This window comes from Homo sapiens, chromosome 19, assembly GCF_000001405.40.
Source record: "Homo sapiens chromosome 19, GRCh38.p14 Primary Assembly".
Lineage (NCBI taxonomy): Eukaryota > Metazoa > Chordata > Mammalia > Primates > Hominidae > Homo > Homo sapiens.
The window spans coordinates 50,448,561-50,464,235 of record NC_000019.10 but is presented as its reverse complement, the minus strand read 5'-3'; the positions used below and the strand labels follow the sequence as shown (position 1 = coordinate 50,464,235).

Genomic DNA, 15,675 nt, shown 5'->3' with positions numbered 1-15,675 from the left:
CAGATGTTCTTGGACGAGTCACTTCTCCCTGACCCTCAGTCTCCTCTTATGTAAAAGCAGGTTGATAATCCCACTTCACAGGGTAACGGTGGGGTCTTCCCATTGCTCTCAGGACAAAGAGCTCACTGTTTGTAGTGGCCCACAGGGTCCCACACTCTTTGACCCCCATTACTTCTCTGCTCCAGCCAAACAGGCTACCTCACTGTCCTTCAAACAGACCAGACAGGCACCCACCTCAGGACGCTGGCACTGGCTGTTCCCTCTTCCATAGTGCCCTTCCCTTTTTTTTTTTTTTTTGAGACAGAATCTCGCTTTGTCTCCCAGGCTGGAGTGCAGTGGCGTGATCTTGGCTCACTGTAACCTCCACCTCCCGGGTTTAAGCAATTATCCTGCCTCAGCTTCCCAAGTGGTTGGGATTAGAGGCGCCTGCCACCATGCCTGGCTAGTTTTTGTATTTTTAGTAGAGATGGGGTTTCACCATGTTGGCCAGGCTGGTCTCAAACTCCTGACCTCAGGTGATCTGCCCGCCTCGGCCTCCCAAAGTGCTGGGATTACAGGTGTGAGCCACCGTGTCTGGCCCAGCCCTTCATAATTTTATATTATTTATGTGACTCTGGGCAAATGTCAGTCTCCCCCAACATACAGGAAATTTCTTGTTCGAATCACCCAGGTCATTGAAAGCCTCTGAAAATGTTTGTTGTAAGAATAAATGGAGTGAATAAATGAATGAGAGCACGAAACAGTGCTGTAAATAAGCAAATGGAGTGAAGGAATGAACTGAGTAAATGGATGGATTGGTAGGTGGATAAATGAGTGGAATGAGTGACATGAATGAGTGGAGTTAGTGAATACAGTATACAGAGATGGAGACATGGTATGCCTTAAGGAGGCTGAAGCGAATAACCTACAGCCCAGACCAGAAGCTGGCAAACTGTTCCTATAAAGGACCAGATGGTAAATAATTCAGGCTTTTTGGGCCCTGTAGTCTCTGGGCCTGGAACGCGAGCCACGCACATTTATTTACATTTTGTCTGCAGTAGCTGTAAACAAAACATAAACAAATATGCTTGGCCCGTGTTCCAATAAAACTTTATTGAGAGAAACAGGTGGTGGGTGGATTTGACCCATGGGTGATGGTTTGCCAACCCCTGGTCTAAATGAGCTCTAGGTTGCAAGTGTCCCTGTTCACAAAGAGCAGTTGGAAAATGGCTGGACAGGAAGACCCTGGGGAGCCGTGCTGGTCTAGGCTGCCCCTGCTCCCAACGTTTCTTTTTCCATGGGACTGGCATTTGTCCTTGGACAGAGCAAGAGAGACTTAATGGTCCTCTCCTCAAGCTGCCGAGACAAGCTGTTACCTGGCAGTCAGGGGACAAAGAAAAAGGCAAGAGGCCAGGAGCGGTGGCTCATGCCTGTAATCCCAGCACTTTGGGAGGCTGAGGCAGGCGGATCACCTGAGGTCAGCAAAACGCCGTCTCTACTAAAAATACAAAATTTAGCTGGGCATGGTGGTGCACGCCTGTAATCCTAGCTACTCAGGAGGCTGAGACAGGAGAATCGCTTGAACTTGGGAGGCGGTTGCAGTGAGCCAAGATCGCACCACTGCACTCCAGCCTGGTCTCAGGAAAGAAAGAAAAAAAAAGAAAGAAAGAAGGAAAAAGGCAGGAAGCCAAAGGCAAGATGTGATTGATTGTCTGAGACTTGGGCTCTGGTCAGAGGAGCTAACAGGAAGTGGGTGAAAAGTGAGCAAGTCCAGTCTGGGCGTGGTGGCTCACACCTGTAATCCCAGCACTTTGGGAGGCCGAGGCGGGAGAATCACTTGAGCCTAGGAGTTCAAGACCAGCCTGGACAACATAGCAAGACCCCATCTCTACAAATTATAAAATTAGCTGGCCACAGTGGTTCATGCCTGTGGTCCCAGCTACTCGGGAGGATGAGGTAGGAGGATCACTTGAACCCAGGAGGTCAAAGTTGCAGTGAGCTGTGATCGTGCCACTGCACTCCAGCCTGGGTGATACAGCAAGACCCTGTCTCAAAAAAAAAAAAAATCAAAAATCAATTAAAAAAATTTTTTAAGTGACTAAATCCCTTGAGACAGAGAACTCGGGGAAGAAGAACTGGCGTGATGGGGAGTGGGCTTCATTGTATGGAAGATTCCCCACAAGGCAACACACACGCAGATCTGGGTCCCTGCCCTGGCACCTTCGGGTGGCCTCTGACAGCACAGTTGAGGGCTGCCGAGTACCCAGCCACGACCACGCGGTCTATGAGAGGTGTCAGGAACTTGGGAGCCATCCGGAAGTCATGCTCCTTATACTCGAACGGTTTGAAGGTGATTCCTGGGGAGAGAGGATGCACCCGTAAGGCGACTGATCTAGATTCTCCCCTGACACCAACCAGGGAACAAACCGCAATCACCTCTCTCCCATGACTAGGTGCCGTCAACCCCAGTGGGGAGGGGAGGGCAGGAGTCCAGGTGGGACCTGGGCGAGAGGGTGGACGGGGTGGGCCTGGGCTGTGGGGCAGGATGGCTGTACCTGTCTTGAGGATGCGGGCCGTGTTCTTGGAGACACCAGGTGAGTCACTGAGCCCACAGATGTTCTCGGTGTAAACTCGGAAATAGTATTCATTGCCCACGATAAGGTCGGACACAGTACAGCTAGTGTGCCTGTTACGTTCATAGACGTTGAACCACTCCTAGTGTGGGGACAGGGAGGGACCAGGCGGGTCGGGGCCACAGGATCACACGATTACACACAAGACACAGACGAAAGAAGGGGTGAGAAAAGCACATCCAGTGTTTAAAAAAATGTCACTCATGGCGCACTACTCACAGTGGCCAACAGGTGGAACCAACCCAGCGCCCATCAGCGCAGGGATGGACAAACAAAACAGTCGGCCCAGACAAAGGAACATCATTCAACGCTAAGAAGGGGTCAGGCACCGTGGCTCATGCCTGTAATCCCAGCTCTTTGGGAGGCCGAGGTGGGAGGCTCGCTTGAGCCTGGGAGTTTGAGACCAGAGTGGGCAACCCGGCGAGACCCTTGTCTGTTAAAAAAATCAAAAAATTAGCCAGGTCTGGTGGCCAGCACCTGTAGTCCCAGCTACTTGGGAGGCTGAGGGAGGAGGATTGCCTGAACCTGCGGGTTGGAGGCTGCAGTGAGCCATGATCATGCCACTGCATTCCAGCTTGGGTGACAGAGTAAGACCCTGTCTCAAAAAAAAAAAAAAAATTTAAAAGAAATAAAGGCCAGGTGCAGTGGCTCATGCCTGTAATCCCAACACTTTGGGAGGCCAAGGTGGGAGGATGACTTGGGTCCAGGAGTTCGAGACCAGCCTGGACAACATACTGAGACCCTGTCTCTACAAAAATTAGCGGGATGTGGTGGCACGTGCCTGTATTCCCAGCTACATGGGAGGCTGAGATGGGGGGGAATCACCTGAGCTCAGAGGCAGAGAAGGCAGTGAGCCAAGATTGCACCACTGCACTCCAGCCTGGGTGACAGAGTAAGACCCTGTCTCAAAAAAAAGAATTCTAAAAACAGGATTTCTGCATGGACACACCCGGCACCCTGCAGCATGGATGAACTTCAAAGACGTTGTGCTGAGCTAACAAAGTCAGACACAAGGGTCACATAGCTAGGATTCCATGTGTATGAAATGTCCAGAGTAGGTAAATCCAGGGAGACAGAAAGCAAATCGGTGGCTGCCAGGGGAGACCAGGGGGTAGCGCTATTGGGTACAGGGCTTCCTCTGGGGGATGAAAATGGACTGGGTAGAGGCGGTGGCTGCACAACCCTGCAGATGTCCTAAGTGCTGCTGAATTGTTCGCTTTAAAACGATGAATGACTAATTCCGTTATGTGACGTTTACCTCAGTGAAAAAAGAAAATGAAAACCCATCACGTGCCAAGTCTCAGCTAAAAGGCTTCCCTCCTGGCCCCAGCCCGTCCTCTAGCCTCTGGGCCCCTCCCTGCCCTTCCAGCTGTGAACGGGGGACATCTGCACCTGCTCTGCCCACCTCACCGGCTCTTCCCCATCTCCCCCTCTGCTCTCTCACCATGGTTTTTTTGTCTGCTTTCTGGACGAAATACCCCATGATCTCACTGTTCCCATCATCTTTGGGGGCCTGCCACTCCACCAGCGCGTTCGTGCCCCACACCTCCTTCACCATCACGTTTATGGGGGGCCCAGCCTTTTCTGGAAATGGGGAAGTGTGACAAGTCAGTCCAGGTTTTGGGATGTCCAGCCGCTTCCCTCCCCTCCCCTCTCCACACCCCCTCCCTCCTGATTCTAACCTCTCTTATGCCCCATTCCCATTCCTGCCTATGGCCTCCCCCATCCCAGTCTCTCCACTTCCTCTTATCCTGGGCCACCCTCATCCCTCCTCACCTCCTCTCCTCACCCCCATGTCTCCCCACTTCCTCTCTTCACCCAATCTCCCTCTCAAGGGTTCCCCCATCTTCATCTCTCCTCCACTCCTAGCCCTGGTACTTGCCTTGCTCCTTATCTAGTCTCCCCCACCTCATCTTTTCACCTCCTCTCCCCCTCCCCTCCTCATCTCCTCACCTCCTCTCCCATCCCTCATCTCTCACCTCCTCTCCCACCCCTCGTCTCACCTCCTCTCCTACCCCCCATCTCTCACCTCCTCTCCCACCATCTCTCACCTCCTCTCCCACCATCTCTCACCTCCTCTCCCACCCCCCCATCTCTCACCTCCTCTCCCACCCCCATCTCACCTCCTCTCCCACCCCTCATCTCTCACCTCCTCTCCCACCCCCCATCTCTCACCTCCTCTCCCATCCCTCATCTCACCTCCTCTCCCACCCTTCATCTCCCACCTCCTTCCCCACCCCTCATCTCTTACCTCCTCCCCCATCGCTGCCCATCCCTGCCCCTCCCGGCCTCCAGGGGCCCTCCCCAGCGCGCGCACCCACAACGCGGATGCGGATGGTGGCGGTGTCCTTCATGTTCTCGATCTGCACGCTCAGCTCGTACTCCCCGGAGTCGGAGCGGGCCGCCTGGCGCACGAAGAACACGGTGTCGAAGTCGCTGGTCCGCACGTGCACGCGGGAGGTGTCCAGCGGGGCCCCGCCCTTGGTCCACACCACCTGGGGCCGGGGCTTTCCCTGCGGGGAGAGGGCGGGGCGGGGTGGGGTCAGCGGGGCTCCACCCGCAAAAAGGGGGCTTGCGGCGAGAGCGGACCCCCGGCCCGTGACCCCGCTCCCCTGACCTGGAAGGGGACGACAAGGTTGAGCTGCTCGCCCACTTTGCGGATGTAGGTCTGGCGGAGATGGCGGGGAAGCCGGATCTTGGGTGGCTCTGAGGGCGCAAACACAGGGAGGGGGCTCAGCGGGGGGCCGGGGCGCATTCCAGGGGCCAATGGTGATAAGGCTCTCTGGGGAGGTCCTGTCGACGACACGGAAAGGGCAGGCGGGACGACGCCAGCTTGGTCTTTCGGAGCGCAGGGTCAGGGGCCACGCACCCGCAATCTCCCTGATGGTGACCGGCTGGGCCAGGGTGGCCGGCTCGCTGCGCCCCGCGATGTTGACCCCAACTACTCGGAAGAGGATTCTGGCTCCGGTCGGGAGATTCTTGACGGTGAAGCCACAGCGCTCCACGGGCTCGGTGTTGGCAGGGACCCATTCCTCGGCTGGAGAGAGAGGCCCTGCTGGCGGATCTCGTGCCCTCCTCCCATCCTCCGCTCCCGTTTCTCCCGGGGACTTGGGCCCCACGCAGCGAGCGAGTGAGCACTGAGTAAGTTCCCAGTAGAAGCAGCAGCAGCAGCTGGAGTTAGTTAAGCATTCATCATGGCCAGGTTCTAAGGGTGGCCATTCTGTTCGCTCATTAATTTTTTTTTTTTTTAAACGGAGTCTCGCCCTGTCGCCCAGGCTGGAGTGCAGTGGGACGAATTCTTTTTTTTTTTTTTTTAGGTGGAGTCTCGCCCTGTCGCCCAGGCTGCAGGGCAATGGCAAGATCTTGGCTCACTGCAACCTCCGCCTCCCAGGTTCAAGTAATTCTCCTGCCTCAGCCTCCTGAGTAGCTGGGACTACAGGCTCGCACCACCACGCCCAGCTAATTTTTGTATTTTTAATAGAGATGGGGTTTCACCATGTTGGCCAGGATGCTCTTGAACTCCTGACCTCGTGATCCGCCCACCTCGGCCTCCCAAAGTGCTGGGATTATAGGCGTTGTTCATTAATTCTTACCTCAACCCTGTGCTATCCCCATGTTAAGGATGGGAAACCATCCCTAACATGCTTGTAATCCCGTGGCTCATGCTTGTAATCCCAGCACTTCGGGAGGCTGAGGTGGGCAGATCACTTGAGTCCAGGAGTTCAAGACCAGCCTGGCCAACATGGCGAAACCCTGTCTCTATTAAAAACACAATACTTAGCCGGGCAAGGTGGCAGGCACCTGTAATCCCAGCTACTCAGGAGGCTGAGGCAGGAGAATCGCTTGAACCTGGGAGGCAGAGGTTGCAGTGAGCCGAGATCACCCCACTGCATTCCAGCCTGGGCGACAGACCAAGACTCCATCAAAAAAAAAAAAAAAAAAACTTTCCCCAGGTACCATGGCTCATGCCTGTAATCCCAGCACTTTGGGAAGCCAAGGCAGGAGGATCTCTCAAGCCCAGGAATTCAAGACCATCCTGGACACGCAGCTCAGGCTCTGTGGACTAGGATGTTAAACCCAGGCCTGTCTGACTCCAGCACGCTCTCAAGCTCTGCTCTCCTGCAAGGCTGGCACAGAGGGGCAGGGATCTTGGCTCTGTCTGAGGGCGCAGCCAGGTGGGTGTCTGGGAAGGCGGGCTGAGGGCAGGGTCAGAGCTCTTCAGATTGCCTGCTTTTCGTTACATGCCCTTCTGTCTTGGGTTTATGGCCATGGGCTGGGGAACTCATGGCTGTTGGCTCAGAGCAGCAATCAACAGAGTGAACTCTAACAAGCTGGGTTCTGAAACGTCAGGGTGGGAGCAGCCGGCCAGGGAGGAATGGGGTAAAGAGCACGGAGGAGAGGAGGAGGGAGGAAGCTGATGAGGGTTCAACCATCCCTCCTTTCCATGCATTCTCGAGTACATCGTCACTGTACCCTGTCAAGATGAGAACTGTCTTCGCCATGGTTAGATGAAGAGACTGAGGCTCAGAGACTTGCCCAAGGACACACAGTTAGACAGTGGAGGGGCAAGGTTGGAACCCGCATCTGTCTGACTTTAAGACCTGGGATAGTGTGTCGAGGTGATCACGTCTGTTCTCCCAGAGAGATGGCTGCGTCTGAGACATCTCCATAGCCATGGCACTGGGCCGGGCACAAGTCAGTGCTCAGTGAATGTTTGTTTGGTGGAGGATGGAGAGTGGATGTATGGAGGTACAGATGATGGATGGACAGGCAGAGAGACAATGGCTGGTTAGGTGGACAGATGGTTGGATGGCCATATAGGTAGAAAGAGGGAAGGAAGCAAAGATAGTGGTGAAGAGATAGATATATGGATGAAAAAATGATACTGGGCCGGGTGCGATGGCTCATGCCTGTAATCCCAGCACTTTGGGAGGCCGAGGCAGGTGGATCACGAGGTCAGAAGATCAAGACCATCCTGGCTAACACAGTGAAACCCTGTCTCTACTAAAAATACAAAAAAAAAAAATTAGCTGGGCATGGTTGCAGGCATCTGTAGTCCCAGCTACTTGGGAGGCTGAGGCAGGAGAATGGCGTGAACCTGGAAGGTGGAGCTTGCAGTGAGCCAATCGTGCCACTGCACTCTAGCCTGGGCAACAGAGCAAGACTCTGTCTCAAAAAAAAAAAAAAAGAGAGAGAGAGAAACGAAGGAAATATGGACAGATGGATGGATGGATGGATGGATGGATAGATGGATGGACAGATGGATGGATGGACAGATGGATGGACAGACGGATGGATGGATGGACAGATGGATGGATGGATGGATGGATGATGGACAGGTGGACAGATGGACAAATGGAGGGATGGATGGATGGATGGATGGATGGATGGATGAATAGATGGAAATATGGATGGGTGGATGGATGGATAAATGGATGGATGGATGGATGGATAGATGGAAATATGAGTGGGTGGGTGGGTGGATGGATGGATGGAAATGATGGATGGATGGATGGATGGATGGATGGATGGATGGATGGACGGTAAGATGAATGGATGGATGGATGGATGGAAATATGGATGGATGGATGTACAGATGGGTGGACAGATGGATGGACAGATGGATGGATGGGTGGATGTTAAGATGGATGAAGGAAAGATTGGTTAGATGGATAAATGAGTAGAAGAAAGAAAGAAGGCATAAAGGTAAAAGATAAAAGATAAATGGGGGGATGGAAGGATAGATGGAATGACAGAAAGTCACTGCTGTATGGAGGATGGATGTAGAAAGGAAGAAGGGAGAGAAAACACACTAGTCACAGGGGGGTCCCATCCCAGAGACTTATAACAGTACAGACACAAAACACAAGCAGGCCACTGCACCCATCTCTGTCCCACATGGTCCTATTTTCAGCTCCCTGGACTGGATACCCACCTGTGCTAGCCACCACCCCCACCAGCCCTGCCAGGGTCACTCACAGCCTTCCAGGCAGTACTCCACCAGGTACCCATCGATGCCACCTGCCCCGATCCTGTTCGGAGGCCTCCACTTGAGTGTGGTGGTGGTGTCTGTCACATCCTCCACTATCAGGTGCAGGGGTTCACTCGTGGGTGCTGCAAGCATCCAGAAAAAGAGGATATGGGGGGAATGAGGGGTCAGGGGTCAGCAGGAAGGGGCAGGAGTCAGAGGTAGAATGATTGGTCAGAAGGCCAGGGGGTAGGGTCAGAGATTGATGGCGGGCAAAAGATGGGCCAGAGGTGGACGGGGTTGATGGATCAGAGTGATCCATCATTACCAATAGGCATAAAAGTGAGGGAGGACATTACCAATAGGCATAAAAGGCTTGGTGTTCATGCTGGGCTGGGAGACCCCTATAGCATTGACGGCGAAGACACGCATCTCATAGAGGATGCCCTCGATCATCTTGGTGGACTCATAGGTGGTCTCTGTGAAGACCTCAAAGTTCAGCTTCATCCAGCGCTGAGAGCCCTTCTTCTTCCGCTCTACGAGGTACCCTGGAGGCTCCAAGCAGAGAGGAGAAGAGGGAACGGGAGGGCATGGGGCATGAGTCAGCTGGGGGAGTGAGGGCCACATCCAGAGGATCGCATGGCCAGGGCGGTCCGAGGCCATGAATCTTAGGTGGATCTCAGGGGCCACAGAGCATTCAGAGGCCACCAGTCCTGGAGTCAGGAATCAAGAGGGGGTCACAGCTCATGAACCAGGAGGCCAGGAGCCATAGAAAAACCCAGGCTACTGGTCAAAGTGAGAATTCCCAGGTCACCAGCGAGTAAAGGAAGCGGGAAGACCAAAGGGATTGAGATGGGAAAATGGAAAATCAGGGGTCAGAGGTAGGTCACTGAGGATGCTAAGGGCTCTGGGAGGTCAAGGAGAAGGCAGAGGCTGGTGCCGTGGCTGACACCTGTAATCCCAGCACTTTGGGAGTCTGAAGTGGGCAGATCACTTGGGGTCAGGAGTTCAAAACCAGCCTGGCCAACATGGTAAAACCCCATCTCTACTAAAAATACAAAAATTAGCCGGGCGTGGTGGTGGGCACCTGTAATCCCAGTTACTTGCGAGGCTGAGGCAGGAGAATTGCTTGTACCCAGGAGGCAGAGGTTGCAGTGAGCCGAGATTGAGCCACTGCACTCCAGCCTGGGCGATAGAGTGAGACTCCATCTCAAAAAAAAAAAAAAAAAAAAAAACAGAAGGCAGAAAGAGGGAAGGTCAGAGGTCATGAGGACAGAGGCACTCACCGGTGACTGGCTTCCCCCCATCGTACATTGGTGGCTCCCAGACAAGGATGGCCCAATCCTCTCCAACCGAGGTGATGCGCACAGCCTCCGGGGGGTCTGGGACATCTGCAGGGGGCAGGAGAGTCAGGTGGCCCCTCGAGGCCTCAGGGAGTCACCCCTTGGCCCAGCCACCTCGGCTTTCTCTGCTCACCTACAACTTGCAGGAAGATGGAAGCCACGTCCTCGCCGACGGGGTTGGTGACCTTGATGGTGTAGCGGCCCTCGTCTTCCCGCTGCGCACTCTCAATCACAAAGCTGCTGCAGTCCACCCGCTTCTCGATGCGGGTCCTGCCCTCGGTGGTCGTGAATACCTGAACGCAGCCACCAGATGGCCTTGCACCCCATCGTGTCCCCAAGCAAACCCAGGCCTGCCTCTGCCATTCCCCTGCTCAGAATCCTCCCATGATTCCCCATCAACACACAGAGTCCTCACTCGCTCCACTGCCCTCCTCGCCCTCCAAATGCCGTCCTTCATTAAAAGCACCAGACTGGACGGGGCGCAGTGGCTCACACCTGTAATCCCAGCACTTTGGGAGGCCGAGGCGGGTAGATCAACTGAGGTTGGGAGTTTGCGACCAGCCTGGCCAACATGGTGAAACCCCATCTCTACTAAAAATACAAAATTAGCCGGGCCTGGTGGTGCATGCCTGTAATCCCAGCTACTCAGGAGGCTGAGGCAGAAGAATCGCTTGAACCCAGGAGGCGGAGGTTGTGGTGAGCCAAGATAACACCACTGCACTCCAGCCTGGGCAACAAGAGCAAAACTCCATCTCAAAAAAAAAAGAGAAAAAAAGAAACCAACCAAACAACAACAACAACAAAAAAAAGACTGCCTTGTCCCAGAGATTTTGCAAGGCTGGTCCCTGTGCATGCAACACTAAGCTCTTCCTCATCCTTCAGGAAGCACCCAGAAGACACCTCTTCCAGGAAGCCTTCCTGGATACCCTTAGCTGGAAGTGCTGGCTCCAGCCCCTGGGTTCTCATAGCTTCTAGAACCTCCCTTTATCTCAGCCAGAGCACCCTGGACTGTGGCTTCTTGGGCAGGTGTTTGCGTCTCCGCAAGAGTAAAGGCTACTGAGCAGGGTGAGGTAGCTCATGCCCGTAATCCCAGCACTTTGGGAGGCTGATGCAGGAGTGCCACCCAAGCCCAGGAGTTCAAGACCAGCATGGGCAACATAGTGAAACCCTGTCTCAAATTTAAAAATAAATAAATAAATTTTAAGTAAAATGAAGGCTCTTGGAGGGCAGGAGCCGCATCCAACTCATGGTTGCATCCTCAGTGCCTGGTGCGGAGAAAACTTTAGGGGATGTACGCTGAGTGAGCAAATGGATGGATGTTGAGCAAGTCTGTCCATTTTACAGAAGAGGAAATGGAAGCACAGAGAAGAAATGAAAAATCGAGCTGTCCCAGGGCCTGGGACATGCAAGGTTAAAATATTTGTTGGACGGATGGATAGAGGAATATATAGATATGGCTGGGCATGTTGGCTCATGCCCATAATCCCAACACTTTGGGAGGCCAAGGTGGAAGGATCGTTTGAGTTCAGGAGTTTGAGCCCAGCCCGGGCAACATGGTGAAACCCTGTCCCTACAAAAATACAAAAAATTAGCGAGGCATGGTGGCACACTTTTGTGGTCCCAGCTACTCAAGAGGCTGAGGTGGGAGGATCACTTGAGCCTGGGAGGTGGAGGTTTCCGTGAGCCAAGACTACGCCACTGCACTCCAGCCTGGGTGACAGAGTGAGATTCCACCTTTCAAAAATATAGATACATAGATAGATAGATAGATACATAGATAGATAGATAGATAGATAGATAGATACATACATACATACATACATACATACATACATACATACATACACAGATACATAGATAGATAGACAGATAGATAGATTAGATAGATTATATAGATAGATTGAAGTGGGTAAATGATGTGTTTCTGGATGAATGGATAACTAAATTGGTTGATGGATAAATGGACAAACAGATTAATTACTGGACGAGTGGATGGCTGGGTGAATTAACCAATTAGTTGATGAAAAAATCATCAGCTGGATGGGCGGATGAGTTACTGGCTGGCTGGAAGCCTAAACTGGTCGATCACTTGATTAATTAACTGAAAGGTGAATGGATGAATGGATGGAGCATCCACCATGTGCTAGGCCCATACCTGTGATGGACAAACATAATCTCTAATCTTCAAAACAACCCTGTGAAGAAGGAACCATCACCCTCATTTTATAGAGGATGAAACTCAGGCTCAGGGGGAAAGAGACTTGCCTAAACGGAAAGGGAGTGAGGACAGAGGGGCGGCCCCAACCCACCTCATCTCCCTTCAGCCAGGTAGCGACGGGAGGGGGCTCCCCTGTGATGGACACGTCAAGCCTCAGCTTGTTTCCAGCCACAACCACAATCGCATTCTCTGAGGTCTTCCCCGAGCAATCCAAGTGGATCTTTGGTGGCTCTGGTGGCACAGAAGAGATACAGGGACCCTGGGAGTGGGAGGCTGGGCCTTCCCAGTTCCCACAAGAGAATCTCCAAAAAGTTGGGTTCCAACAGTGACAGAGACACAGGGATCCATGTCCTGAAGCCCTCCTCCCTCAGACCCAGTAGTCCAGGCCCCCAACCCCTCCTCCCTCAGACCCTACAGTCTAGGCCCCCAGCCCCTCCTCCCTCATACCCAGGGATCCAGGTCCCCAACCCCTCCTCCCTCACACCCTACAGTCTAGGCCCCCAGCCCCTCCTCCCTCAGACCCAGGGATCCAGGTCCCCAATCCCTCTTCCCTCAGGACCTCAGTCCCTCCTCTCGGCCGATAGCCCCCACCCCGTCTGTCAGCTCCCCGCCCCTCCTCCCTCCCTTCCTCAGCACCCCAACCCCCTCCTTCCTCTCCCCACTCATCCTCCCGCACCCCGCCCATCCTTCCTCGCCCTGCCTATCCTCCCTCGGCCATTCCCCTCCTCCCTCAGCCCGGTCCCTCCTCCCTCAGACCCGCTCCCAGCGCAGCCCGTGGTGCTCACCTTGCTTGGGAACGTACTCCACCTTGATTTCTGCAAGACAAAGAAGACTGGACAGTTAGGTCTAAACTCAGCAGGCCCCTCACCCCACCTTCACAGCCCAGAGGAAGAGGTGACAGGGTCTGGCAGTCTCCCTGGGAACTGGGGTGCTGGAGACAGGTTCAGGCCCAGGAGCCACCCCTCCTCCCGGGCGGCAGGTGGCAGCGAGTTCAGCGCTCTCCCTCCATCTTCTGACTCCAGCCATGAGCGGGACAGACGCTTGCTGTCGTCCTCATTCGCACTCGGGGAACCTTAATCCTGGAGAGGGACATCCCGGGCCCTGGGTCTGCGAGGGTGGATCCTACAGCCCCCAGGGAAGGAGGAAGGGGCATCCTCACCCAGGAAGTTGAGCTTGGCCGAGAGCGACAGGGCGTAGCCGTCAGGCACAAACGTGTAGTCTCCCTCATCCTCGGGGCGGACGTCATCGATCACCAGCTTGTGGAACCTAAGGGGTGGGGGAGCAGGGTAGGGCTCGAACCAGATTGCAATGGGACCACTATGGGGCTGCACCGCCTCAATCAGCTTCCCTCAGTGCAGTCCACATGCCTGCATTCTTATCCAGGGCTTTGGAACGCTGTGGTCTATTTTCAAATCGGTAGCTATGTGACCTTGGGCAAGTTACTTAACCTCTCTGTGCCTCTGTTTCTTCATCTATAAAATAGGGGTAATGATATCCATCTACATCAAGGTTGTTGTAAAGCATCGAGAAAGGTGCAGTGGCTCACATCTGTAATCCCAGCACTTTGGGAAGCTGAGGATCGAGAATTGTTTGAGCCCAGGAGTTCGAGACCAGCCAGGGCAACACGGCAAGACCCTGTCTCTACAGAAAATAAATAAATAGATACTGTTCTTTGGCCGGGCATGGTGGCTCACGCCTGTAATCTCAGCACTTGGGGAGGCTGAGGTGGGAGAATTGCTCCAGCCCAGGTCAAGGCTGCAGTGAGCTATGATTGCACCACTGCACTCCAGGCTGTGTGACAGGTTGAGACCCTGTCTCAAAAAAAGAAAAGAAAAGAAAAAAACCACACCTAGAAAAGTACCTGGCACATAGTAAGGGCCCTGTAAGTGTCAGGATGTGTTATCATCATTATGTGTTGTTGTTTTTGTTTGTTTGTTTGAGATGGAGTCTCACTCTGTCACCTAGGCTGGAGTGCAATGGCATGATCTTGGCTCACTGCAACCTCCCCCTCCTGGGTTCAAATGATTTTCCCACCCCAGCCTCCCGAGTAGCTGGGACTATGGGCGTGTAACACAACACCCAGCTAATTTTTGTATTTTTTGTAGAGATGGGGGTTTCACCATGTTGGCCAGGCTGGTCTCGAACTCCTGACCTCAAGTGATCCACCCACCTCAGCCTCCCAAAGTGCTAGGATTATAGGTGTGAGCCACCATGCCCGGCCATTATCATCATTACTGAGACCACCAGCCGGCATGGTTCCCTACACAGAACACAGGGAAAACCTACATCCCACCAAGAACTATTGCCAGGAAGCCCTGAACGGCACGATGTTCTCCAGGCATCATGCTGGCTCTCTGCATTCTGCAGATAACCAGGTGTTTGTCTTAGGTGTCCACGTGCCACCTGTTGAATCCCAGCTTCTTGTTTTCTGAGCTGGAGCCCATGTTGACTGTTAGCTGATATGGCCAGAGGCTTTTCCCTGCCGGTGTCCATGCCCTTGAAATGCGACTTTGCAGCATCCCCATCAGTGGTGGAATCTGCTTCCCAGCCCTTGACTCAGAGCTGGCCTGGGACTTTCCTTGCCCAACAGACTATGGCGGAAGTGGCATTGGGCCAGTTTCCAGCCTGGGCCACAGAAGTCTCATTTGCTTCCATGCTCTCTCAGGACCTCTGCCTCTGCCACGTGAGTGTGCTAGGCTGAGCTCACTGGAGGAGGAGGAGGTGCCATAGGGAGCGGCGTGCTGGGCGCCCAGCTGTCCCAGCTGAGGTCCTGACAGTGCCCACGCAAAGTCAGCAGGGTCCAGGTCCTGCCACCACAGAGGTAAGAACGAGGCCATCCTGGATCAGCCAGCCCCCAACCAACCTGCACGCTCAAGATGAAATGAATCCTAATTTATTTATTTATTTATTTAGAGAGAGTGTCTCACTATGTTGCCCAGGCTGGTCTTGAACTCCTGGGCCCAAGAAATCCTCCTGCCTTGGCCTCCCAAAGTGCCAAGATTACAGGTATGAGTCACTGCTCCGAGCCCAATCCTCATCCTTTTAAACCTCTAAGTTTGGGGACAGGACAGGTGCGGTGGTTCACACCTGTAATCCCAGCACTTTGGGAGGCCGAGGTGGGTGGATCAGCTGAGGTCAGGAGTTAGAGACCAGCCTGGCCAACATGGTGAAACTCTGTCTTGACTAAAAATGCAAAAATTAGCATGGTGGCGCATGCCTGTAGTCCCAGCTAGTCAGGAGGCTGAGGCAGGAGAATCGCTTGAACCTCAGAGTTGGAGGTTGCAGTGTGAGGCTCTGACTCAAAAAAAAAAAAAAAAGGAAAAAGAAAAGAAAAAGTCCAGGCGTGGTGGCTCATACCTGTAATCCCAGCACTTTGGGAGGCTGAGGCAGGTGGATCACTTGAGGTCAGGAGTTCAAGACCAGCCTGACTAACATGGCAAAACCCTGTCTTTACTAAATACAAAAAAATTAGTCAGGCGTGGTGGTGCATCCCAGCTACTTGGGAGGCTGAGGCAGGAGAATCGCTTGAATCCG

General features: G+C 53.6%; 1 protein-coding gene across 1 annotated transcript in view, besides 1 other annotated feature; it reads right to left on the bottom strand.

The window, feature by feature from the left end:
• Window positions 1-15,675, bottom strand: part of MYBPC2 (myosin binding protein C2) — a 33,430-nt gene that overhangs the window by 2,086 nt on the left and 15,669 nt on the right. The window contains exons 14-26 of the mRNA NM_004533.4: window positions 13,301-13,407; window positions 12,927-12,956; window positions 12,233-12,372; window positions 10,057-10,216; window positions 9,867-9,971; window positions 8,940-9,128; window positions 8,592-8,726; window positions 5,482-5,649; window positions 5,230-5,318; window positions 4,930-5,125; window positions 4,057-4,196; window positions 2,535-2,694; window positions 2,200-2,336 (exon numbers count right to left, since the gene is read on the bottom strand). Coding sequence (NP_004524.3) covers window positions 2,200-2,336; window positions 2,535-2,694; window positions 4,057-4,196; window positions 4,930-5,125; window positions 5,230-5,318; window positions 5,482-5,649; window positions 8,592-8,726; window positions 8,940-9,128; window positions 9,867-9,971; window positions 10,057-10,216; window positions 12,233-12,372; window positions 12,927-12,956; window positions 13,301-13,407 — 1,756 coding nt within the window. The remainder of the gene's footprint in view (window positions 1-2,199; window positions 2,337-2,534; window positions 2,695-4,056; window positions 4,197-4,929; window positions 5,126-5,229; window positions 5,319-5,481; window positions 5,650-8,591; window positions 8,727-8,939; window positions 9,129-9,866; window positions 9,972-10,056; window positions 10,217-12,232; window positions 12,373-12,926; window positions 12,957-13,300; window positions 13,408-15,675) is intronic.
• Window positions 12,542-13,110: an enhancer, noted in NCBI's record as "H3K4me1 hESC enhancer chr19:50954383-50954951 (GRCh37/hg19 assembly coordinates)". NCBI's record gives its function as "activates a minimal SCP1, AML or CMV promoter by ChIP-STARR-seq in primed H9 embryonic stem cells {active_cell/tissue: H9 hESC(primed)}" and the evidence as "EXISTENCE:reporter gene assay evidence [ECO:0000049][PMID:30033119]".